Here is a 25,827-nt window from a genome sequence, read left to right as displayed (position 1 = left end):
AATAAAATCAAAATTACCAATAAAAGCCAAAACTTCCAGGAATAGAAGAGGTAGAAGTTGAAAACTGAATTTTTCTTTATCTTCCAATAGACGTCACTAAAAATTCCTTTGTGGACATCAAAACTGGATTAAATTAGAGAGGTTAAGAGGGAAATTGAACAAAAATCAAATATTCAAGTAACATACCCATTGGGCTTATATGTTCACTTGTGACTATCAAAAAAGTTATTAAATCACAGCCAGTCGATCAAGCCAGACTCAAAATGACTATCAACTGTCACATAAATTCTATACTGTTACTGCCAAATTATTCTAGCTTTTATTTTCATAAACATTTTACCCAATTCTGTATTTTCTGAATTATAACAATTATTTAACAAGAACTCATAAAAATACATAATGCTATCACCTTATCATTTCATGGCTCAGAGGCTCTCAGAGTTTGCTCTTAACTACCCAATGTTCCCCAGCCATCGCTCCTCTCCAACAAAACCACTACACAATCCCATTTCCATTCTTCCCTTTTCCTAGCATCACTAGTATTTTCTTACAACAGGAGAAGAATAAATAGCAGGTGGAAATAGCAGAGGAAATAGCAAGGTTCAAGAAAAAAAGAAACGGATCATACCATTAGTATCAGTTTTTGGCATTCAGGAGCTAAAGACTCTGCAATTCCATTCTTACAACCCATTTGGAGCTCATTTCAATGAGAAGTCAAACTTCACTAATCTTTTTGAAAACTGGAATAGATAACAATAGCAAAATTGAGCTGTTATTGAAATAAAATAGAAAATATGCTAAATGAATGATTTAGGCCTTAGTTAAAAAAAAAATAGGTAAGATTGATGGATATGAACATCACATGCTCTTCAAAAAAAAAAAAAAGTGATCCTTAAACAAAAGACCCACCCCATGAATGACATCCTATCTTGTGACAACTTGTTAGCGGAAAATGAAATTTATTCATCTCTTTTCTAGATATAATTTTTAGAATCATTTATCCAGATGTTCCTTTTTATACTTTTGGTCAATACTTAAATATTATTTAAGATGCATTTATAAAGCTCAGTCTTTTCATGCAAACAGCATTTTAGACACAGAGAACCCTTACTAATGACCAATGATCTATGGCCCATATTTAAAGAACCACCTTTGTCTTTTTATTTTTTTAATCCTCTAAAATAACAACAACAATAACAAAAAACTGGAATAGCCTACCAGAGAAAATTCAGAAACTACATTCTTTTGAATTCCTAAGTGCCACCAAATATTTGGGCAAAACAGAGTAAATGAATAATTTGAAACAAGGCTTCTCGACCTTGACACCATTGACACTTTAGGCCAGATAACTCTTTGTCGTAGGAGACCATCCTGTGCATTGTAGGATGTTTAGTGACATCCCTAATCCCTATTAGATGCCAGTGGTACCACTTCACTTTCCCACTTGTCACAACCAAAAATATCTCCAGACATTGCCAAATGCCCCTTTGGGTGGAGGACAAAATAATCTTTGGGTGAGAGCTACTATTATAAAGTGATAAGAAGATAAAGCCCAAAGTTAGATATTCACTGAAAGAAGTTCTATGACTCTGCAACCTCACTGAAGCATCAATTTGTTTTTATGCATTATCTTAAAGTTTCTCCCAAGTTTCATATTTTCTCAATGAAATAATTTCTTCAAGTACAAATGACACTCCAGAGACAAGAAGATACATTTATTTCACTGCCCAATTATTTTCTTAAAAAAGCTTAATGTTTGATAAAATAAAACAAACTTTTAGTACCATAGAAACCTTTCAACATGTACAATGACATATTATTACTATGTACAACTTCAAAAACAAATGCTTCCAGCTGCAAGTAAACTGATGTTGAACATCCTGCCTATATTTCAGCTGTACGAAATTTCCTGGATGGCCAATGGTCTCCTTGGCTTGGAAAAAATTATATAAATAAGACCTTCAATGAGTTGGGAATCATAAAAATGCTATCTGAAATTCAGTCATCTGGATCTTGGGAAGTTTGCAATAGCTCTAAGAGTTCAACAAGCAAAATAAAACCCTGTGGATATTTAAACTTCAGTTGTCCAAGACGTCTTGTAGGTTCACAGTTGGTCTATCAAAAATAAAAGCTATTCCTATCGTGGCAAACAAAACTTGGTATCTGGTTCAAATACCATTTTTCACCAGCTCATGAACTCCATTCTCATCGATGATTAGAGGTGCATGGAATTCTTTATCTGCCACATAACTTTCTAATCCCTAAAAAGAGGATTGAAATGAAACACAATTAGAAAATTTGCACTTGTCATGCAGTGCTGGACTTGCTATAATGATGATTTAAAGCACAAATGCCAAAAAAGGTTGAGATGCAGAATATAAAAGTCAAAATCTATTTAATAGACATTTTAGAGTAGACTTAATGACTGACTTGTAAAAGCATAAAACAAAAATATAAAAAGAAAATTACTCTGATCATTTCTACAGTTAATAAGATAAACATTTTTCCTATAATCATCTCTCACAGAGTTAACTTTTTTTTTTTGAGACGGAGTAGTCTCACCCCTATGCTCACTGCAACCCCCACCTCCCAGTTTCAAGCAATTCTCGTGCCTCAGCCTCCTAAGTAGGTGGAACTACAGGCGCCTGCCATCACACCCGTCTAAGTTTTTGTATTTTTTAGTAGAAACAGGGCTTCATCATGTTGGCCAGGCTGGTCTCGAACTCCTGACCTCAAATGATCTACCTGCCTTGGCCTCCCAAAGCGCTGGGATTACAGGCATGAGCCACTGCAAGCGGCCAGTAGAGTTAACTTTCTAAGCAAGAAAGCTATCTCTAATGCTACAACAAAGCAATACAAAGATCTCCAGGAAAAATATTACATAAGTAAAAGAGTAGAGACCTCTAAATCCCCAAGTTTTAAAAGTGACAGTACTAAGTACTTGAACAAACTAGAATCCTTGAAAGAAAACTTACATTGCATTTAAAAAAAGCCAGGTGATTCATCTAAAAAACAAGGCTGATTATATATTTTTCAAAAGCCTACTACATTTCAATGAGTAGGTGAAATGGACTAGATATTGCAGATGTCTGTTAATGGCAACTAACCCACTTATGGGATAGATGCAAAGCCATAACACGAATTCTCAAAGAGAAGAATTCAGAACAAATGCAGCTTCTCAACTTGTTCCCAGGAAGAGCTCCTCAGGGCAGGACCATCAGAAAATGCTGCATCTTCTCTAAGGACATCCCTACTTAAACATAAAACAATGCCAGAATTCTACTTTTTAAAAAAGTTTTATTTCTTTTTTTGTAATTTTTTTTTTCTTTATAAAGACAGGTCTCACTATATTGCCCAGGCTGGTCTCAAACTCCTGAGCTCAAGCAATCCTCTTGCCTCAGCCTCCCAAAGTACTGGGATTACAGGAGTGAGCCACTGTGCCCAACCTTATTTCATTTTTAATTGACAATAATTGTATATATTTTTCAGATACAATGTGATGATTCAATGCATATATACACTGTCGAATAATCAAATAAAGCCAATTAACATATCTATCACCTCAAATACTTATCCTTTCTTTATGGTGAGAACATTTAAAATCCACTTTTTCATTATTTTGAAATATACAAAGCTTTGTAAAAGAATAGAGGAAAAAGTAAAGCAGACTTACTTCTCCAGCATAGGAGATAAGAGGAGAGATTTCACATTGGATTGGTACATCATTGGCATCCTTCAAGCTAAGAAAAAAAACAAGTATGTGTTAAAGACTTTGCTTCCCATGTTACTTGCCAGAGCAAAAGTACAAACCATAACTTTCCTCTGAGAAGCTTGCAGATAATTCTTCCAGTTAAACAAATGGAATAGATGCTACCCTGATGATCACTAAATTCCCTGAGGATTAAGTTAATATGAAATTCTCAGGTCAGAAGGACACTATTTGGGGCAAGTGCCAATAATTACTGGTAGCTCTTTACAGCACTTCACTAGTTTTTACACACTGTCCCCTTACATACATCTCATTTTTAACCATTTCCAAGTTTCAATTTGATAAAAAGGTGACTACTTACTAGGTATATACTATATGCCAAGCCCAATGCTAGGTGCTCTGAAGCCTTCATATTGCATTTTAATCTTCACCACTACCTTGGTACTATTAATGTTGACAAACATTCTAAAGCTGTACTATCCAATACAGAAGCCAATAGCTGCACAGGGCTACTTAAATTTAATTAAAATTTTTAAAACTAATTTAAAATTTAAAATTCAGTTTCTCAGTCATAATAATCACACTTCGAGTGTTCAGAAGCCATGAATGGCCAATGACTACAAAACTGGACAACAAAGATATGCAACATTTCCTTCACTGCAGAAAGTTCTATCAGACAGTTAAATTATTTCCCAGTACATGTTTTTTCTGTACAACCCAAATGTCCTAGATTAGCTGAGCTAATTTATTCAATATGTTTCAAAGTACTTCTCTGTTACCAAAAGTCCCTTTTTAAAGAGCTAAGGCAGAATGCACTCAAGCGAAGGCAAGGTCAAAGTCCCTATTTGTTTCATCTAGGTCACAACCTAACATTTACAGCAATTCTGAATTTCTAAGTTATCTAACACAAAAGTCAATAAATAGTCAATGAGTTTGCAGTCATTAGACCTCTTTGTTATTTGCCACTTCAAGAATCTTACCAATAAGACACAGGGCACAAAAATATTAGTCTCTTGTCAAACCATAGCTCTTTCTGTGCTTTCCCCAAGTACGTAGTCTCAAACTTTGCTGGAGTCAATAAAAATCAGAGGGCTTCTGAGTTTAGCTACAGGTCAACCTTTCTCTAGCATTCAAAGCACTCTCTATCCTACTTCACCTTACTTATCCTGAGACTCTCCACTCAAACCAGATCAGTCACACTCTTTGGATTATTCCAAGTCATTCTCAACTATGGTCCCATAAAAACCATACTCATCCTCCAAGATTTGGCTCAAGCCCCAATCTTCTCTTGACCACTGCATTTCATAGTGATTGTCTCCATCCATTTATTCATATAAAAAATAAATGTGGCTGGGTGCAGTGGCTCACACCTGTAATCCCAGCACTTTGGGAGGCCGCGGTGGGTGGATCACCTGAGGTCAGGAGTTTGAGACCAGCCTGGCTAACATGGTGAAACCCTGTCTCTAATAAAAATACAAAATTAGCCGGGTGTGGTGGCGCGTACCTGTAAAGCCAGCTACTCCGGAGGCTGAGGCAGGAGAATCGCTAGAACCCAAGAGGCAGAGGTTGCAGTGAGCCGAGATTGCACCATTGCACTCTAGCCGGGGTGACAGAGCGAGACTCTGTCTCGAAAATAAATAAATACATTAATTAATTAATTTAATTAATGTGGCCGGGTGTGGTGGCTCATGCCTATAATCTCAGCACTTTGAGAGGCCAAGGTGGGCAGATCACTTGAGGTCAGGAATTCGAGACCAGCCTGGCCAACATGGTGAAACCCCATCTCTACTAACAATACAAAAAATTAGCTGGGCTTGGAGGCGAGCATCTGTAATCCCAGCTACTCAGGAGGCTGAGGCAGGAGAATCGCTTGAGCCCAGGAGGTGAAGGTTGCAATGAGCTGAGATCGCTCCACTGCACTCCAGCCTGGGCAACAGAGCAAGACACTGTCTCAAAAATAATAATAACAATAATAAATAAAAAATAAATGTATTAGACACCTGCTAAGTCACTGCCTCCCAGAGTAATTATTGCTATAGCACACATTTAGCACATAATCACATACTGCCTGAAAATGTTACTTAACTTTTATGTATGTGCATCTTGAACATCCCAGTAGTCTGTAAGAAGTGACTTATTTCTCTTGTATAAGATACTTCAGCACCTAGGATACTAATAGCACCTATAAACCTATGAGCAGGCCTACGAATGCTTGTTGTCTGAACAAATAACACTATGAAAATGATGACAAACTAATGAAGGGAAAAGAGGAGGCATAGTGGGGCACACACCTCTCTACATACATGCCAGATTCTACCACAAGAGCTCAAGAGGTCTAGTCCAGACCTTCTGGGGCAACTCAAAGTCATACAAAACCAAATGAATCTTGAGTAGGCATGCCGAGGAAAAAAAAAGGAAAAAATGAGGGCCCACCCCATTAAGATGTATATAGCCCAGTCCCACCTAAACCCCTGAAGGATTCAGTGTAGCAGGAACAGAAGGTGGTTGTGAACCCAAGAAACACATATACAGCTGGCCTGAATATGTAACTTCCATTCTACTACCACAAAGATACCCCAAGAAACTAAGGAGTGAACTTCAGTAAACAAAATTGGATGCCCTGAAGGAGGGAAAACAGAAGCTACCATCACCAAATGTAAAATCTCAGGATATAAGCAAATTAGCCCAATAAACCTACTGCCCCACAATTCTTTAGCCATGCATCCTTTTGGTAGCTAACACTATTCAGTAAGCATTAAGGTGAGAAATAAAAATAATATCGAGTCAAAACTCAGCATGGTTGTTTCCATTCTTTCAGAATACCTCCTAGTTGCTTCTTCCCTCTTTTACATAATATACTTCCTTTTCATCTCTCACAATTACATGATGTTCTTCAGCTGTGTAAGGTCATCCTTTGGTGCTAAGGATTACGCAGGAACTCTTTTTCAGTGCATGGTATCATTTAAAGCCAAACTTTGATTTCACTTTAATTATTCTATAAATGGCTAAAATGAAGTAAACTGGGCGATGGGGGATATTAAACAAAAGAGTAAGAATAATGTTTAAAGCTTTTTGTATCTTAACTAAGATAGCTAGATGCTGTCTTCAGTTATATAATTAACAATCTATTACACTGTTAGGTTAAAAGCTATGGTTCAATGACAAAGAAATTTAATCAAAGTTTTATTTCTTAAATATAAAAGCAGCTTGCTTCCATATATTAAAAATGGTGGATGAGACAGAAAGTGATAAAGGGCTCTGCATCCCAGTTCCCAAGGCAGGAGAGACAACAGTCATCTATGGCAGCGGTCCCCAACCCCTGGGCCATGGACCGGTACTACTCTGTGGCCTGTTAGGACCTGGATCACACACCAGGAGATGAGCAGTGGGCAAGTGAGTAAAGCTTCATCTGTATTTACAGATGCTCCCCACCACTCACATTACTGCCTGAGCTCCACCTCCTGTCAGATCAGTGGCCGCAACAGATTCTCTTAAGAATGTGAACACTATCGTGAACTGCCCATGTAAGGGATCTAGGTTGTGTGCTCCTTATGAGAGTCTAATGCCTGATGATGTCTCCCATCATCCCCAAATGGGACCACCTAGGTGCAGGAAAACAAGCTCAGGGCTCCCACTGATTCTATACATTACAGTGAGTTGTATAATTATTTCATTACAATGTAATAATAATAGAAATAAAGTGTACTATAAATGTAACATGCTTGAATCATCCTGAAACCACCCTCACCACCCCAAGTCTGTGGAAAAATTGTCTTCCACAAAGCCAGTCCCTGGTGCCAAAATAGGTTGGAGACCGCTGATCTACAGCACCTATAAGAAATTGATCAGATCTTTGAGTCCACTTCCTTGTTTACAGAATCACATCCCAGAAACACTGACACTCACAGGAATTTGTCTGGGCAGAGGAATGGCACAGACAGGAAAAAGCACGTGGGTGACACTGATGAAGGTGCTACTCTATTTCTGAGATAACTTCCATCTCCAGATCTTTTGCCCTGCATATATTTCCCAAATTACCTTAAAAACTTTTTCTTTCTTTCTTTTTTTTTTTTTTGAGATGGAGTCTTGCTCTGTCACCAAGGCTGGAGTGCAATGGTGCGATCTCAGCTCACTGCAACCTCTGCCTCCCAGGCTCAAGTGATTCTCCCACCTGAGCCTCCTGAGTAGCTGGGACTACAAGCGTGCATGACCACACCAGCTAATTTTTGTATTTTTAGTAGAGATGAGGTTTCGCCATGTTTGCCAGGCTAGTCTCGAACTCCTGACCTCAGGTAATCTGCCTGCCTTGGCCTCCCAAAGTGCTGGGATTACAGGTGTGAGCCACCGCACCCAACCTTAAAAACTTTAACTTTCAAAGTGTAACAATAACATCAAGCTGTCTCTTAAACTATAAAGATAATGGCTTTTCCAAACTCTGTCAGTACCCAGATGGGAGAGGATATGTGTTACTTCTAACTAAAAATGATCTGCCATTAAGATAAAAAGATTCTTTAGAAGCAAGAAAGTAACTGACTAAAATTAATGCAGTGACCAAAAAGGAGAGCTGTTAGTGTGAGAATAAATCAACAGAACAGTTTTCTCCATATTAAGGGCCATCAAATATGACAGGAACAATCAGCCTGTATACTGAGAGCATACACCCAATTCCACAAGACACATCTTCAGAATGGTATTTTTAACCCCGTATAAGCTTATGTTAAAGGTGCAAAATGTGTTCTCCCTGACCTGTAACCTGCTCTGGATCTTACCTATCATCTGAAAATCTGTCAGTTCCAGCTCTAACACCTGTGGTCAGATTCTTTAGTAAAGCATGCTCTCCATTTCCAGCATGCAACAAGATTCTGAGTTAGTGTCATCCAGAGAGATACCTGCCACCAAGTAAGCAGTGCACCCACACCAAAGTTTCAACCATCCTCCCTCCAGACCCCCAAAAGGCAGAGCACTAAACTACGATGCCAGTTAGTATGGAGGGAAGCACAGCCCCATCACCATGCACTGTAGGCAGGCTGGTATATTTACTTGTGATTGACATCAGCTGTGATGGTCTCTGACTTCCCATTTGTAGCACTGCTATGTGGGAATAAATAAGGATTAATGGGAATGGAAGCAAATCAAACAATAACAATGAAATGGAGTTGCAAAATATACTTGATTGAATGGTATGTATTTATGGTAAATCATAAATTCGTCCCAAGAGACCAAAAGGGGGTAAAAAAATAAAAATAAAACTCAATGGCCAAAGATGAAACATGAGGACAATGTGACATGCCAAGAGCAAGCTTGTTGACAATACAGAGCCCAAAAGTGGCCTTGGACTGGGAGATGAAAGCTACCACTGCTGCTTCTTGTAAAACCAGTTATGTACCAGTAAATTCCAATGTTCAGTGTTCTCTAACATTTTATTATTTTTCTTGAGATGGAGTCTCACTCTGTCACCCAGGCCGGAGTGCAGTGGTACAGTCTCAGCTCACTGAAACTTCTCCCTCCCGGGTTCAAGCAATTCTCCTGCCTCAGCCACCCAAGTAGCTGGGATACAGGCATGCGCTACCATGCCCAGCTAATTTTGTATATTTAGTAGAGACAGGGTTTCACCATGTTGGCCAGGCTGGTCTTGAACCTCAGGTAATCTGCCTGCCTCAGTCTCCCAAAATACTGGGATTACAGGCACAAACCACCGTGTCCAGCCCAATATTTTACCATTTATTGAGGCATTCTTGCAGCCAGCCATCTTATCCGTTAGGAATATAAATTAAATGCCAGAATGCTTTTTACATAAGTACGGATATACCAGATGATTCAGAAAGGGAAATTCTAGGTGCCAGTGAAGGTTTCATCATAAAATACAAGATTTAGGCTGAGCACAATAGCTCACACCTGTAATCCCAGCACTTTGGGTGGCCAAGGCGGGTGTATTGTTTAAGCCCAGGAAGTGAAGGTTGCAGTGAGCCAAGATCGCGCCACTGCACTCCAGCCTGGGTGACAGAGCAAGACCTTGTCTTAAAAAAAAAAAAAGATTGGCCAGACATGGCGGCTCACGCCTGTAATCCCAGCACTTTGGGAGGCCAAAGCGGGCGGATCACCTGAGGTCAGGATTTCGGGACTAGCCTGACCAACATGGTGAAATCCTGTCTCTACTAAAAATACAAAAATTAGCTGGGCTTTATGGCAGGCGAGTGTAACCCCAGCTACTTGGGAGGCTGAGGCAGGAGAATCACATGAACCCAGGAGGCAGAGGTTGCAGTGGGCAGAGATTGTGCCATTGCACTCCAGCCTGGGTGACAAGAGTGAAACTGTCTCCAAAAAACAAACAAACAAACAAAAAAACAGATTTAGCTGAAAAGTACTTTATCTTGGATTTAAATAACTACAATACCTTCTTTTTTTAACTTCTCAAAACCAAAGCCATTTCTAAGTATCAGTGAATGTAACTGACATTTACTTCTCTTCTAGACACCTTCCTCAGTGACCTGAAAGTGCTACAGTGAAAACTGCCATTGGACTACAATTTGTAGGTAGCCTGGGGGTGGTGGAGCTATGAGTGGGTCTCACAGACAGTACTATTAACAGTAGTGAGGTCAGCCGGGCCCAGTGGCTCACACCTGTAATCCCAGCATTTTGGGAGGCCAAGGCGGGTGGATCACAAGGTCAGGAGATCGAGAGCACTCTGGTCAACATAGTGAAAGCCCATCTCTACTAAAAATATAAAAATTAGCTGGGTGTGGTGGCATGTGCCTGTATAGTCCCTGCTACTTGGGAGGCTGAGGTAGGAGAATCGATTTGAACACGGGAGGTGGAGGCTGCAGTGAGCTGAGACTGTGCCACTGCACTCCAACCTGGTGACAAAGCAAGACTCTGTCTCAAAAAAAAAAAAAAAAAATAGTGGTGAGGCCACAGATATATGGGCAACAACAAACAATCCTCTGTGGCTGAAGGACTTGCCCTGTGGTATAGTGTGTTACTGATGGGCTTTAACCATATGGCACACCAAAAAAAAAAAAATCTTCTGATCATTATTTAGTAGAAGTCTTTTTGCTGTCATGGTGGCAATGTTTCCAAAAAATAAAAATTAAAAAAAGAGAGATCTGAAAGACTCCTCTTCACAAGAAAGTAAAACAATCATTCTCTTTATAATAGGCAAAGCTACTGTTATTTCACATCAGGAACTGTTCACACATCAAAACTTTGCTTTTTAAAAAAGATCTAGGAATACAGAGAGAGAGAGAGAGAGAGAAGTCCAAGAGGAAAAGTCCAAGAAAGGATTCATACAAAAGAGAAAAGATACTGACTTACCGGGGAATTGCTGGAAGGCGAGAGCCATTTTCATCTATGAAATGGCCCCCTGCATTGAGGACCCAGCAATGATGAAGGGACATCAAAGCATGCCTTGCAGTAGTAGGGTTGTCTTTCCCATTCTGACTATCAGCATTCTTTAGTGGGGAAAACTCATCTTCTCGCAATACTTCATATACCACAAACTTCCTAGAGCGAAACCATATAAAGACCTCTTTATTATGAAACTGCATACACAGCTTCTAACCCTTTAACATAGCTAAGGCTTTGGTCTCAACAATAGGCTTTCCTATTCCAATCTGAATGATGAATAAAATATTGCTCACCCTTGGACTAAAGAAAGCTGAAATTTTCTTTTTCAATGCAAAATGAGAAATCATTTCCCCCCTCAACTATAGAACAGTTCATCTTAAGTCGGAAAGATTAGAAATCTTAATGTACAAAGATCACATTAGTATCTGTTCTGGAAAAAAAAAAAAACAGGCAAAAAAAATGATTTAGAAATGGAAAGATTAATTTCATTTTATTTATTTATTTTTTTGAGACGGAGTCTCACTCTGTCACCCAGGCTGGAGTGCAGTGGCACAATCTCAGCTCACTGCAACCTCTCCTCCTGGGTTCAAGAGATTCTCTCACCTCAGCCTCCTGAGTAGCTGGGACTTCAGGCATGCACCACCACGCCCACCTAATTTTTGTACTGTTAGTAGAGACAGGGTTTCACCATGTTGGCCAGGCTGGTATCCAACTCCTTGGCCTCAAGTCATCCACCCGCCTCAGCCTCCCAAACTGCTGGAATTACAGGCATGAGCCACCACGCATTAATTTTATACAGCTTATTTGTCTTTCTCATTTTTGCACTCGTCAAATTCTGAGACAAGCATCTCAACATCAAATGTGATCTTTATAGAGAGCTATATAATCTAAAAACATGTTTACTGAAACATCTATTCACAGGGCAGTAAGAAGATATCCTAAATACAAAACGAGACAACTCTTTATCTTAACCTTTTCAGTTTCTCATCCAAAATAAATGACTTTAACAACTTTACAGGAGACCAAGGCGGGGCGTAGTGGCTCAAGCCTATAATCCCAGCACTTTGGGCGGCCGAGATGGGAAGATCGCTTGAGGCCACAAGTTTGAGACCCGCCTGCTCAACATAGCAAGACCCCATCACATTTAATAAATAAATATATATTTATTTATATATATAATATAAACAATATATATTTATATATATTATAAATAAATATATATTTATATATAACTATAAATTTATATATAATATATAAATATTATATATATTTAAATATAATATATAATATATATTATATATAATATTTATATATTATATATAATATATATTATATAAATATATAAATTATATATATAAAATATATATATAATATATATATTTAATATACATATGAAAAAAACTTTATAGGAGCCAGAAACTAGTTGATTTAAAAAAAAAAAAAGTTGTACTCATAGGCAACTCAGATCACACTCCTGGTTTTATTCCAGAGAACTATAATGAATCTAGACTACATACTCACAATCAAAATGCCATGTGAGATATGTGCTATCAAATGTTTCCTGAAAACAGTTTCATGCCTAAGAGAGTGAAAAGCAGCATTTTAAGACATTTATTTAACCTTATTGGTACTATTCAAAGCATACTTTGCAAACTGGAAGATGTCAAAGACAAATTTTTCCATCTTTATTCCATTGGGTTTGTCTGGCTTAATTAACTGTCCTTGGGTATCCACATAAGGAATCTTCTTTTGAGCCACATGGTGCTGCAACTGAGGTTCATAAACACTAAGAAGCAGGAGGAGAAAAGATATAATCACGTTCCAGATTTAAAATGCCAGAAAATCTTACAACATTCAGGAGCAAATGTGTCAACAACCAATACTAAGATTTTCAAAGTGAAGAGCATTTAAGTTTCAGTTCATATTTAAATAGTAAATGAATAGCTTTCCCCCAATCATCTCTTTATATTTAAAAAAAAATCAAATAACAGTCTCCACTAAAACTGTGTACGTGTGCATTAAAACTGTATTCATTACAAATGCCTTAAAACTGTATATATGTACATTAAAAAACGCATTAAGTTACTATGGATGAAACAGTAACACAGCTACAAATGGCATAGAATGGGAAATATTTTGGAACTGGAGTTGATATTCTAAAGTAATGCATATTAACTTTTTAAAAAGTAGACAAGTCATCTTGAATGTCTAAAAGCTAAGTGAAATCGATAGTGAGAATGTCCTTCATTTAAAACTATGGTGGGATAAAATAGCTCTTATTTTATCCTTTGTAGCACTACCCGCTAATTTTCATGCAGGTGTCAAGTAATTTCTTCACTCTTTAGCACACTAGTTTCTAAATGCCAGCCTGGGAATCAGCTGAATTAGAACTTTGTGGGCAGCTTTCTAAAAATATAGATGCCCCGAACCCACCTCCTGAAATTCTAATTCAGTTGGTGTAAGGTGAACATCTGTATTTTTAAAAAGCTCACAGCTGTGGTAAAGAAAGTTTCATTTCTTATGCTTTGCTTCAACAGAACCTAGCACATAGTTGGGGGTGGGAGGGTGAGAAGGGAGAAATGCTTTGGCCTCCCATTAATGCGCTGGGGAATGGGCTCCGATGATTCCCACCTTACAATACATCTTACTAAAAACAATCACAACATGAGATAAATGTCCATTTGATAAGTGATCCTCAGGAAAGATGAATTCTGTGGGATATGGACTTGGGGTGTCTGCATCCCTCTCAAGTGTCTTAGTTTCTGATTAACAATAAATATAATTTTAAAAGGCCCCCATCTTGCCCATACTTGACAACATCTCTCAGAAATGGTACAGTGAAGAAATGGTTGGCAATGTTCCCCGCATTGAACAGCAGTCGTCCGTCTGAGCTTCGTTTTTGAGCTGTTGCCAGGGAAATCTCACTATATTCTACCACCTGGTAAACTCCATCCACTCGGCAAACCACTCCAACTGGTTCTGTAGGGTTCGTTTTCTCTACCACCTGTCCACCAGAGAAAAACAGTAGAGGAGGAAATTGAATTAAATGTTTCTTTGGAGATTTGCCATTGTCAAAGATGACATTTACAACTTTGCTTACACTAAAAGGTATAAAGCCAAGAAGAATCTTTAACTTTAGACAATCAACTATCCATCTTTATATACCTTGACAGGCACTTTCCAACTGGAAATGAGGTATATTATTTCCTTCCTATTTATCACCTAACTAAACCTTGGGCTAGAAATTCCATCATATACATATATCTAGCACAGAGTAAATCACATTGGAGTGGGAATAATTACATCAGGAGTCAACATCCCCCATGTATCTTGTACTTTTTATTTAATTTATCCTTAACCACCTCAATTACTTTCATAATAAATAAAATGAAATTTCTCTGGGATTCACAAGACAAAAGACCTAAGTTAGGCATTTTGTCTCTCATTTTCTATTGCCCGATATTTCATTTGAAAAAAGCATTTCTTTAATTTTGGCATTTTCCTTGTGTTTCAGGGACCTGAGTAGGAGGTAAAGGGGTTTAGAGCAGGCAGGTCACTAGCCTCCCACTCCAACTTTAATTAGAAAACCCACCCATATTTATCTGTTTTGTATACTCAATTTTGTTTGAAATAAGTGATTCTATACTTCAAAAAAATAATTCTGAAAACCAGTGATGTGATAATTTATCAATGGCTCTGGGCTGATGGGGAGCTGAGAAAAGAGGGTATACTAAAATCAGAGGGAAAATTAAGAATATGTAATTTTTAAAAACCTCACAAGTGATTTTGGTATGCCACCACACTAATCCCACACATCACTGACTTAAGTGTTTAGAAGAAAATTATAAAAGAACTATATGCAATGCACTAATATAAAATCAAGGTTCAGATAAGATAAATATCCAACCGAAGAAACAAACAATAAAAAATATTTGTCAACCTAGGCAACAAGGTGAAACCCTGGCTTCTATTTAAAAAATAAAAAAATTAGCCAGGCGTGGTGGCATGCTGGAGTCTCAGCTACTAGGGAGACTGAGGAAAGAGGATCACCTGAGTCTGGGGAGGTTGAGGCTACAGTGAAACGTGATTGCACCACTGCACTCCACTCGAGCCTGGGCAACAGAGTAAGACCCTGTCTCAAAAATCCCTATCTATTTGAAGGTATTGTTTTGTTTGTCCAGTCTAATTATCAATTCAGCATGCTTCAAAATATGTTTAAAACTCTGTCCCCAATTTGACAAGTCTATCCTAAGTAGACATGAAATTATATTAATAAAGTTAAGACTTTTCTTCAACAACTGATTTCTTAAAATAAATACAGTCAGTAACAGTCTCATCCAGAAAACTAAAGCCACTATTGAGAACTTCATTTACACAGCAATTAGAGATATAGGCACTGAGTCCAGCTCAGTGAGGCAGGACTGCTGGATAAGTAAGCCTGTTGTGTGGTTCACTGTTTGCCACCCTGAAAGGAACACAGTTCTTAATGAAAAGAAACTTTCTACCGAGGAAGTAGATTAAACTGAAGGGGAACATTATGCAGCAAATTATTTAAATCAATCATGGGCCTATTTACAATTCTTATCTACCAACCCATCACCATCTCTTACTTCATGTACTCTACCTACAGTGGGTATCTTACTAGGCAGGGAATTTGGGATAGATTCCCCTTATTCTCTCTCTTTTTTTTTTTTAACGCACACAGGTTTATTTTCCAGTCACCACTATATACTCCTACTCCCAACCAGCCATAAAAATAAAAATATACATATTCACATTTTACATTTCCCAAAGGTTTACTTCTATGGCAACTATTAACCTCTAAATATTTTAAAAGTCTACATTACAGAAGAAAGCATTTGTAAACTGAATGAAGTGGGAATCCATTTATATTATACAGAAAAGATATAAAGTATAGAACGGGCGTGGTAGCTCACACCTATAATCTCAGCACTTTGGGAGGCTGAGGTGGGTGTATCATCTGAGGTCAGGAGTTCAAGACCAGCCTGGCCAACATGGTGAAACCCCATCTCTACTGAAAATTAAAAAAAAAAATTAGCCAGGCATGGTGGTAGGCACTGTAATCCCAGCGATTCAGGAGGCTGAGGCAGCAGAATCACTTGAACCTGGGAGGCAGAGATTGCAGTGAGCCAAGATTGCGCCATTGCGCTCCAGCTGGGGCAACAAGAGAAAGACTCTTATCTCAGAAAAAAAAAAAAAGATATACAGTATAAACTTAAAAGGTGTACTCAATATTTCATAAGTTTAATCCAGAAAAACTGAGTCCAGGGCCAGGCACAGTAGCTTACACCTATAATCCCAGCACTCCGGGAGGCCAAGGCAGGTGGATCACTTGAGGTCAGGAGTTAAGAGACCAGCCTGGCCAACATGGTAAATTAGCCAGGTGTGGTGGCACATGCCTGTAATCCCAGCTACTTGGGAGGCTGAGCAGGAGGATCACTTGAACCCAGTAGGCAGAGGTTGCAGTGAGCTGAGAGAAAAGCTGAGTCCAAAATAACACTTTAACCTCAGAGTTACTATAATTGCTTTACAAAATGATCTTCAGTTAACAATGGTTCCTACCTTTTTAACTTTGTACTTTTGCAAACTACCTCACTCTTTCAGTCTTTTCTCATGTTCTTCACTCCATAAAAAATACTTAATGCACCAAGACAGGGGCCTATTAAAGTACTGCAGGCCAGGCATAGTGGTTCACACCTGTAATCCCAGCACTTTGGAAGGCTCAGGCAGGCAGATCACCTGAGCCCAGGATTTCAAGACCAGCCTGGGCAATGTAGCAAAACCCCACCTCTACAAAAAATACAAAAATTAGCCAGGCATGGTGCTGGGTGCCTGTAGTCTCAGCTACTCAGGAGGCTGAGGTGAGAGGATCACCTGAACCCAGGAGGTCGAGGCTGCAGTGAAGCCATGATAATGCCACTGCATATCCAGCCTGGGTGGCAGAGTGAGATCCTGTCTCAGAATAAATAAATACAATAAAAATAAAGTACTGCAAATAATTCTACTACCACAGTATGAATCATCCCCTAACTTAGGTGCTTTAAGATACATATTTTAATGCTTTGATTTTCTTATTTTAAAAGGGCAGGGGAGCAATTATGTAAACGGCTTCTAACATTTCTAAAAGATTTTAATATATGCCAGTCTAGTCATGTTTTGGTTCCATCTGAATATTTACTTATTCATTCACTGAATGACTACTACATTACATGCCAGACACAGGACTAAACAGTGAGTGTCTTTGCAAGGAAGACTGAGTCTGGATTTATCCTACAGAGCCCACAGGTAATGGAGAGGAGTGACTTAACACTTGCATCTTTGCATGATTAGTGTACTCACAAAAGTTAGCACACCAGTTTAAAGATTTTTGAACTGTCAGCAAAAACTAATCTGAAGAGTATGGTTCTATAATGTAATATAATATAAGACTAGGAAGTTGGGAAACATGAACTCTAATCCTGGCTCTGTTAATGTGATAAAGAACCTTGAGCCTGAGTCTTATAAAGTACTAGAACTCTGGCCGGGTGCAGTGGCTCACGCCTGTAATCCCAGCACTTTGGGAGGCCAAAGCAGGTAGATCACCTGAGGTCAGAAGTTCAAGACCAGCCTAGGCAACACAGTGAAACCCTGTCTCTACTAAAAATACAAAAAGACCCAGAAAAATTAACCAGGTGTGGTGGTGCACGCCTGTGGTACCAGCTACTCCAGAGGCTGAGGCAGGAGAATTGCTGAGCCTGGAGGCAGAAGTTGCAGTGAGCCAAGATCACATCACTGCAATCCAGCCTAGGCAACAGAGCCAGACCCTGTCAAATAAATAAATAAATAAATAAACAAACAAAGTACTAGAACTCAGGATTCTCATTTCTGAGATCAAAGGGGTTGACCAGATGATCTCTGGGGTCCCTTCCAGGTTGAACACTCTCTGATTGCATAAAGTTTAAATTGGTTCTGAAGCTCGTAACAGTACAATTTTAAGTTTCTATTTTAGGAAAAAAGAGTGACACCAGCTGGGCACGGTGGCTCACGCCTGTAATCCCAGCACTTTGGGAGGCTGAGGTGTGTGGATCATGAGGTCAGGCGTTCGAGACCAGCCTGGCCAACATAGTGAAACCCCGTCTGTACTAAAAATACAAAAAAATTATCTGGGCCTGGTGGTGGGTGCCTATAATCCCAGCTACTCAGGAGGCTGAGGCAGGAGAATTGCTTGAACCTGGGAGACGGAGGTTGCAGTGAGCCAAGATCATGCCACTGCACTCCGGCCCAGGCGACAGTGCAAGACTGCGTCTCAAAAAAAAAAAAAAAAAAAAAAAAGAGTGACACCAAGTGGAAGGCGTGTGCCTATAATCCCAGCTACTGGGGAGGGTGAGGCAGGAGAATCACTGAACCCAGGAGGCAAAGGTTGCAGTGAGCCGAGATCCTGCCACTGCACACCAGCCTAGATGACATAGTGAGTCTGTGGCTAAAAAAAAAAAAAATACAGTTCAGATACTCACAGAGTATTGGAACAGATAGAAGTCTTAAATAACTGAACTAAACCAACACTTATTTTCAGAGTCCAGAGGAGGCTTATTAGGTCTATCAGCTTAATCTCTCAAAACTTGTATCAGTAAATTTAAGATTTCGGCTTCCAATGAGACTTTGCATAAAATTTCTAGATTAACTTTGAGAGAAATAACTTCTTTGGCAGATCTTCTTTTTAAATACAGATATTTCAAAATAATTTGAAATCGAATTTGTTTTTGTCAGAAGCCTATATGGTTACTGCTTTCAGTAGAAAGGTCTTCCTTTTGCATCACAATTATAAAATTCTTCTAATTTTCTTCTAATACCTTTATGATTTCATTTTTAAATATTTAACTGTGTAATCCACCTAAAACTGATATTTGTATGAGCTTTGACAGAGAGATCTTACTTTATTGTTAGCCAGTTATTTCATTCATTTCCTCCACTGAGTCAAAATGCCATATTTTATAAAATGTGTTCTTCTTATACATACACAGATGTGTTTCTGACTGACCTACTCTATTTTCATTAATCTGTCATTCTATTCTGGTTCCAGTACCACACTCTTTTAATTTACAATTCCTTTTAATGCTTGATAGATGGTCTTCGGCCCCCTTTCCTCCCTTATCTTCATCCTTTTTCAACATTTTCCTGGCCACCTTTACATGTTTATTCTAAACTTTGCAATCATTCTGTCAAGTGTCCCCAAAATAGTCTCACTGAGATTTTGACTGGGCTTTTATTACACTGTTTTTGATGAGAATGGATACCTATACAGACTTCTAGTAATGTTTATATCAGTATTTTTAGGTCTTCCAAAGTGTTTTTAAAGGTTTGCATGTTTGCTGTCTATTTTATTTCTAGCTATAATATATATATTTTTTGCTACCATAAAGACATGCCATCACCTATACAACTAAAAACGTGTTGAAAAGTACAATGCCAAGAACAGACTCATTACATATCATTACAAACCTCCCTCCAACTTAGTATCAGTCTGTGTGTGGTCATTCAAGCAGTTATTCACCTCTTTAATTGTCCTTATGCCCAACTTGCATATTTCTATCTTATTCGAAAGAACATCGTAAGATACCTTGTCACCTGACTTAGGAAGTCTAAATCTGTTATTTCTACCACATTTTCCTTACCTACTCCAATAACTTTGTCACAGGAAAAAAGTTGGGTTAATCTGATTGAACACAATTTGATATTAATGAATCCAACCCAGGTCTAGTGATGACCACTTTCCGAAGTACTTACAAATCCTCCTCACATAGTTTAAACTCTTACCTGTGATAAGTATACAACATTACATCTAGAATCAAGTCTTGCCAATTTAAGAAAAAAAGTGGGTGTGGGACCGTTTAGTTACTTTAGAGAGATAAATGGTTCTAAAATATTCAAATCACCCTAATAAACTTGGTTTGACTTCTGGAATGCGTATATGACAGAGCAAGACCATCAAAAGCCTCACCATAGTTGAGAAAGGCATTACCTTTGCTCCACAGTCTGCTCCTTTCTGAATGCAAAATCCAATGAACCGTGGGTCTGCCACTTTTACTAATATGTTGTCAACACAATAGACATGAATGCTCCAAATGCCTCTTTGCTCCATATCCTCCACAATATTCTGGGCTGCAAGTGCCCGATAAAGACCACCATTCCCATCTGGAAAACAAAATAGCCCATTAGTAGCATATCAAAATCCATCATAAAGGTAACACAAAGATTGTTTCCAAACTAGGGTTAAGATCCCTAAAAAACAAAATTCGCTTTACAAAGGCAAGAAAACTGAATATCCATAAGGAAGGAATCAGGTGTCAAAAAAATTGAACTATAGGATTTTGAAGGTTACTTAGCATTAACTATCCAGAGAATAACACTATCAATGTAAGATCAGGCAACCCCAAAAACCATATCTTTCTTTTTAACTCAGCCCCTTTTAGTAATATATTGTATGATATAAAATCCTTTATCAGGCAATGATTATTTCATAACATTTCAAGTTTCATTAACATTTGTATGATTCAAGTTAGCTCTGTATTTATAACCCCAATGCTGACAATTTCACCCATCTCAAAAATACGTAAGTATTTTGTATCAAATCATTTGTTAAAAAAACAGATTGATATGGAGGCCTAAGGTGATTTAAACGAGATATAAATAAAGCCTCTTCTTTCTCCATCTATTTATAATGCTGCTTTAATGTACTTTGTCCAATAACAACCTTAACCATAGCTTAAGTGATGAAAAATTAGACAACTTCACAAAATACAGCTAAGAATAGTAACTCTTCCATTAACCAAAATAATTAAGATGAAATAAAAGCCTACATCTAGAGAGCACCACTGTTAATACTATTAATTTCTTTTCAGCCTTTCCTCCAAGTACAGATTCTCATAAACATAAATCTGTCAGTAGGTCTATTTTTATAGACTGAGGTTGTACTCAGGGTCACTGAATGTGGCTACACAGGCAATACACTGTCCAATTCTAGTGGGTCCCATTAACAAACCATGATGTGTATGCACTACCTGGAATTGTGCAAAGCAGTGGCCCTAATCATAGACTGTATGCAGTTTTTCATTTTGCATTCTCTTACTTAACTTGCTGAAATAATGTTTAGAATTTAATGCCACCAATTATTTTAATGCTATTTAAGAATTAATGCTATTTTTAAACTATAATTTAGCCTCTCATTTATTAAATAGCATATGGTTTCCAAGTTTTCACTATAATAAACAATGTAGCCATGAACATTGCAGTATACATAAAATATTTGCTATATGGCTGGGCGCGGTGGCTCACGGCTGTAATTCCAGCACTTTGGGAGGCCAAGGCAGGTACATCATTTGAGGTCAGGAGTTTGAGACCAGCCTAGCCAACATGGCGAAAGCCCTTCTCTACAAAAAAATACAAAAACTTAGCTGGGCATGGTGGCGCGTGCCTGTAATCCCAGCTACTCAGGAGGCTGAGGCAGGAGAATCACTTGAACCCAGTAGGCAGAGGTTGCAGTGAGCCGAGATTGCGCCACTGTACTCCAGCCTGGGCAACAGAGTGAGACTCTGTCTCAAAAATTGTAAAAAATAAAAAATAAAATACTTGTTATAGAGAAAGAATACCCTGAATGCTCCTCAAATTGCTCCATAGAGCAGACACCCACAACAAGCATAAAAGTGTATCCATTACACCAACGGGCATTTTCATCTTTTTAAATCATTTCCAAGCTGCAAAAAACACATATATATTAATGTTTAAATATCAAAATCACCATGTTAAAAAGAAAATCAACATTTGATGATTTATGTTGTTATCCTTTCTAGTCACCATTAAATAAGGATGATTACAAACCTGGAGCCATAGAAACTTTGTTCTTCTCTTCCAAAATAATTTTCCCATCAAAACTCATGGCGGGGAGCATTCCTTGCTGAAAAAAGATTACATTCTCTTTTTTTAAACCAAAGTACTTGTGCTTGGTGAAGAACTCCTTTGTAGATTCCATTGTTCTGCCACTGGTCATTATATACCTTACAAGAGAAAATCAGATCTTCTAAGCAACCGTGCTAGGTGGACTAGGGCAAAATAAAGTTTCGTCTATTTCCTAAGCTAAAGATATCTTTGAAAGCACTTGCTTATTATTTTGACTTCCTTCATATTTTTCCTGGGTAAGACACATTCATTAGCTGTTACCCAAGGGGAATTTCTTTCAGTAATTTCATCAACTCTTACGTATGAAATAAATCTACTTACAATATTAAACATACTAAACACACCTCCTTCAAGAGAACCTATAAAATGGCTTAAGTAAACATTTTAGAACTCTGTGAAAGTGTATTTTAAATTTGAAATGCCTATTCTGAATAAACAGGAAGAAAAGGGTAACTGCAATACAGTTTAATGATCTCTTGGGGTTCTTTTTATTGAAATCTGAAATGCAGTCTGGGCTCTGCTAACCCTCCATTTAAAAATCATAAAAGTATAATTATACTTTCTGTTGTCACAAAAATCCAACCCATGCTAGTGTGGCAAAAAAGAAAAAAATTATTTCTAAAACTATAATTAGTGACTGTGGTAGCTTTTGCCCTTACTAGAATGTAAACTACATATAAGAAGGGATTTTTGCCTGTTTGGGTTACTGATTTATCCTCAATACCTAGAAAAAGACACTCAATTAATATTTGTTAAATGAATAAACAAAATGGTATAATTTCATACCACAGGAGGTATCTGTCTGTTTAACAAATTATCCTGGATATTTTGAACTTTAGGTACAAAAGGTTTGGATATATTTAGAAGATGACAGAAGAAGTGGCTAAACTTCTCTGCATAAGAACAGAAATTGAGTTGTGAAGAGATGGAAGAAAGAGAGAGAAGAAAATTCAACATGATAGTAGGAGGCCAGGGCTGTAAGTAGAATGTTGGCCACTTAGAACACAGATGTTCCTCCAAATTCCCCACAGGCATCAAGATGAACAAAACAGTTCACAGCAGGCCAGTACTCGTGGTGAGAAGAGCTAGAAGAGCTACGAAAATTACAAAAAGCAGTTTTTTAAAGGCATCAGAGAACTTCAGAGGCAAAATAGATTGTAAGTCCAGAGACAGAATCTTTCAAAAGGGAACTGAGGCTATACAGCTGCCTTGTCCTGAGGGCACCTGCTGACTTGGGGTACAGGCTAGTGGTGAATATGGCTTGGACCAAAGGCTGCTGCTCGGGGACAGAAACTAGTAGAGCTTTTGTTGATCACATGGGACTGAAATAACAAGATAGGGACTTGGGGGACCTCAAACACACAGCTGATTTTCCCCTCAAAACATGCTAACTTCCAAAACTGCTCGGGGAAAGAGACTAAAGAGCTGAACCAAAAACTTATAAAAAGCAGAGCAGGATCTTCTGTAATCTCTTGGTCCTTAGGAAACTAACACTGGCTGGACATAGTGGCTCACACCTGTAATCTCAGCATTTTGGGAGGTCGAGGGGGGCAGCTCACTTGAGCTCAGGAATTTGAGACCAGAACCCTGTCTCTATAAAAAAAACAAAAAAAAATAGCCGGGTGCGGTGGCTCATGCCTGTAATCTCAGCACTTTGAGATGCTGAGACGGGCAGATCACAAGGTCAGGAGTTCAAGACCAGCTTGACCAACATGGTGAAACTCCATCTCTACTAAAAATACAAAAATTAGCCAGGTGTGGTGGTGTGTGCCTGTAATGCCAGCTACTCAGGAGGCTGAGGCAGGAGAACCGCTTGAACCCGGGAGGCAGGGGTTGCAGTGGGCCGAAATCGCGCCACTGCACTCCAGCCTGGGGACAAAGTAAGACTCCCTCTCAAAAAGAAAAAAAAATTAGCCAGGCATGGTGGCAGGTGCCTGTATTCCCAGCTACTGGGGAGGCTGAGGTAGGAGGATGGCTTGAGACCAGAAGGCAAAGGTGACGGTCAGCTAAGACTGCACTACTGCACTCCAGCCTGGGTGACCGAGACAGACCCTGTCTCAAAAAAAAAAAAAAAAAAAAAAAAAAAAAAAGGGAAGGAACTAACACTGACCAAGGTGGAGCCCCTGAGAACCTGAGAATACAGCATACTAGTAGAGGCTGAGGACACAAGTATGGCCCATAGCACAGAAGTCAGTGCAGCTTTCACCTGGTGTGTATGCGGAAGAGGCGCATGGGTGTGGGAGAGCTAAATAACCTGGTACCTGAAAATATGAGTTTCTAGATGCAGAGAGCTCACTGAGTACTTTAAGGTACTCAGTCAGGAATGTAAAAGTTGGCGGTGAGTATATATTGCTTATTAAGTCAATAGTGGTCATCTATCAAGCAATAATATATAGCACTTTTAACATATATAGTAAATTATACCTCCCAAGAAAATCAACAGTAACAAGAAATATGTCTGTGAGTGCATAAAGTATATATGCATTTTGAATATTATAAAACAATATATGTTCAGACACACTCCAATAATGAGACGTATCTTACCATGGAATAATGCATTTGTTGCCATAATATTTTTCAGCAACCTGCTGTAGCTTCAGGATACGCTCTGCTTGAATCTGAAAAAGTGTCTTACGGGATGGCAAACCAACATCATACATCCCCTTAGGATATGCAACGCCGAGTCTTGTCCCCTGCCCACCAGCTAGAAGAAGAACTGCTACTTTATTCTGAGAAATCTGGAAAAGTCCTAGAAAAGAAAACACTTGTATCACAAAACCTCTACAATTCAACACTTTAGTATTAAATATACATAGGTAGCAGCAAAGACTCATCAAAAAGGAAGTAAGGCTATACAGCTGTCTTGTCCTGAGGCCATTTGCTGATTTTGGGTACAGGCTAGTGGTGGAGAATCTGGCTTGGACCAAAGCCTGCTTGCTGCTTTTATTGATCACATGGGACTGAAATAACAAGATAGGGGCTTATCAACGTAAGGCACAGAGAATACAGAATCTACATAGAATCGTGGATGACTACCTTGCTAATAAAAACATTTCTATTATTAAAACAATTAAATTTATATAACCCAACCGAACACCAAACAATGAACGATGCATTTTAGTGAACTAAATATTTTTTGCTGATAATGTCAGGAGGTAAGAACCGAGAGATATAATAAATGTTTCGCAAAAATTTGATGACTAATTGATGTGGCAAGTCAAAAAAAAGACAGAGTAAAGAAAATACCAAAGTTTCGGGATGAATGATGACACTATCAAATTACCTCCAGCCTATAATAAATAATCAATGAGCATGCAAATATAGCAGGTAAGCTACATAAAGAAAATAAATCTTCAGTTAGGAAAGTAGTAAAGTATAATGGGCGAGAACTCAGGCTCTGAAGTTAGGATTTCTGGTTTGAAACCCAACTCAACAGAATGCGCTTGGGGTATCACCTGCAAAGGGCATCAGAAGTCTTTGTATGGTGATGGAAATGTGCTTATGTTGATTGGGATGGTAGCTACGTGAGTATACATTTGTTAAAACATAAAATTGGCTGGACAGTGGCTCACTCCAGCACTTTGGGAGGCCGCGGCAGGTGGATCACCTGAGGTCAGGAGTTTGAGAGCAGTCTGGCCAACATAGCGAAACCTGTCTCTACTAAAAATATAAAAATTAGCCAGGCATGGTGGCACACACCTGTAGGCTGAAACAGGAGAATTGCTTGAACCCAGAAGGCGGAGGTTGCAGTGAGCCGAGATCGCGCCACTGCACTCCAGCCTGGGTGACAGAGCGAGACTCAAAAAAAAAAAACAAAATAC

The 25,827-nt window shown here is 38.6% G+C and overlaps 1 protein-coding gene across 17 annotated transcripts in view; it reads right to left on the bottom strand.

Annotated features, from left to right (window-relative positions):
* Positions 1–291: 291 nt before the first annotated feature.
* Positions 292–25,827, bottom strand: part of UAP1 (UDP-N-acetylglucosamine pyrophosphorylase 1) — a 39,710-nt gene continuing 14,174 nt past the window's right edge. For 6 of the 17 annotated variants that reach the window (NM_001399790.1, NM_001324115.3, NM_003115.6 and 3 more), the window contains 8 exons: positions 24,551–24,755; positions 21,929–22,104; positions 20,073–20,245; positions 13,864–14,057; positions 12,699–12,839; positions 11,021–11,209; positions 3,674–3,740; positions 1,695–2,261 (listed from right to left, as the gene is read on the bottom strand). In NM_001399790.1, coding sequence (NP_001386719.1) covers positions 2,169–2,261; positions 3,674–3,740; positions 11,021–11,209; positions 12,699–12,839; positions 13,864–14,057; positions 20,073–20,245; positions 21,929–22,104; positions 24,551–24,755 — 1,238 coding nt within the window. In that variant the 3' untranslated portion in view covers positions 1,695–2,168. Of the gene's footprint in view, positions 2,262–3,673; positions 3,741–8,749; positions 8,801–11,020; positions 11,210–12,698; positions 12,840–13,863; positions 14,058–20,072; positions 20,246–21,928; positions 22,105–24,550; positions 24,756–25,827 lie in introns of all 17 variants that reach the window. The other 11 variants (NR_174352.1, NM_001388401.1, NM_001399791.1 and 8 more) reach the window with 5 other exon arrangements.

This window comes from Homo sapiens, chromosome 1 (genome assembly GCF_000001405.40).
Source record: "Homo sapiens chromosome 1, GRCh38.p14 Primary Assembly".
In the NCBI taxonomy this organism is placed as follows: domain Eukaryota; kingdom Metazoa; phylum Chordata; class Mammalia; order Primates; family Hominidae; genus Homo; species Homo sapiens.
Note: the sequence above shows the minus strand (reverse complement) of the source record. Positions and strands in the feature narration are given on the sequence as shown.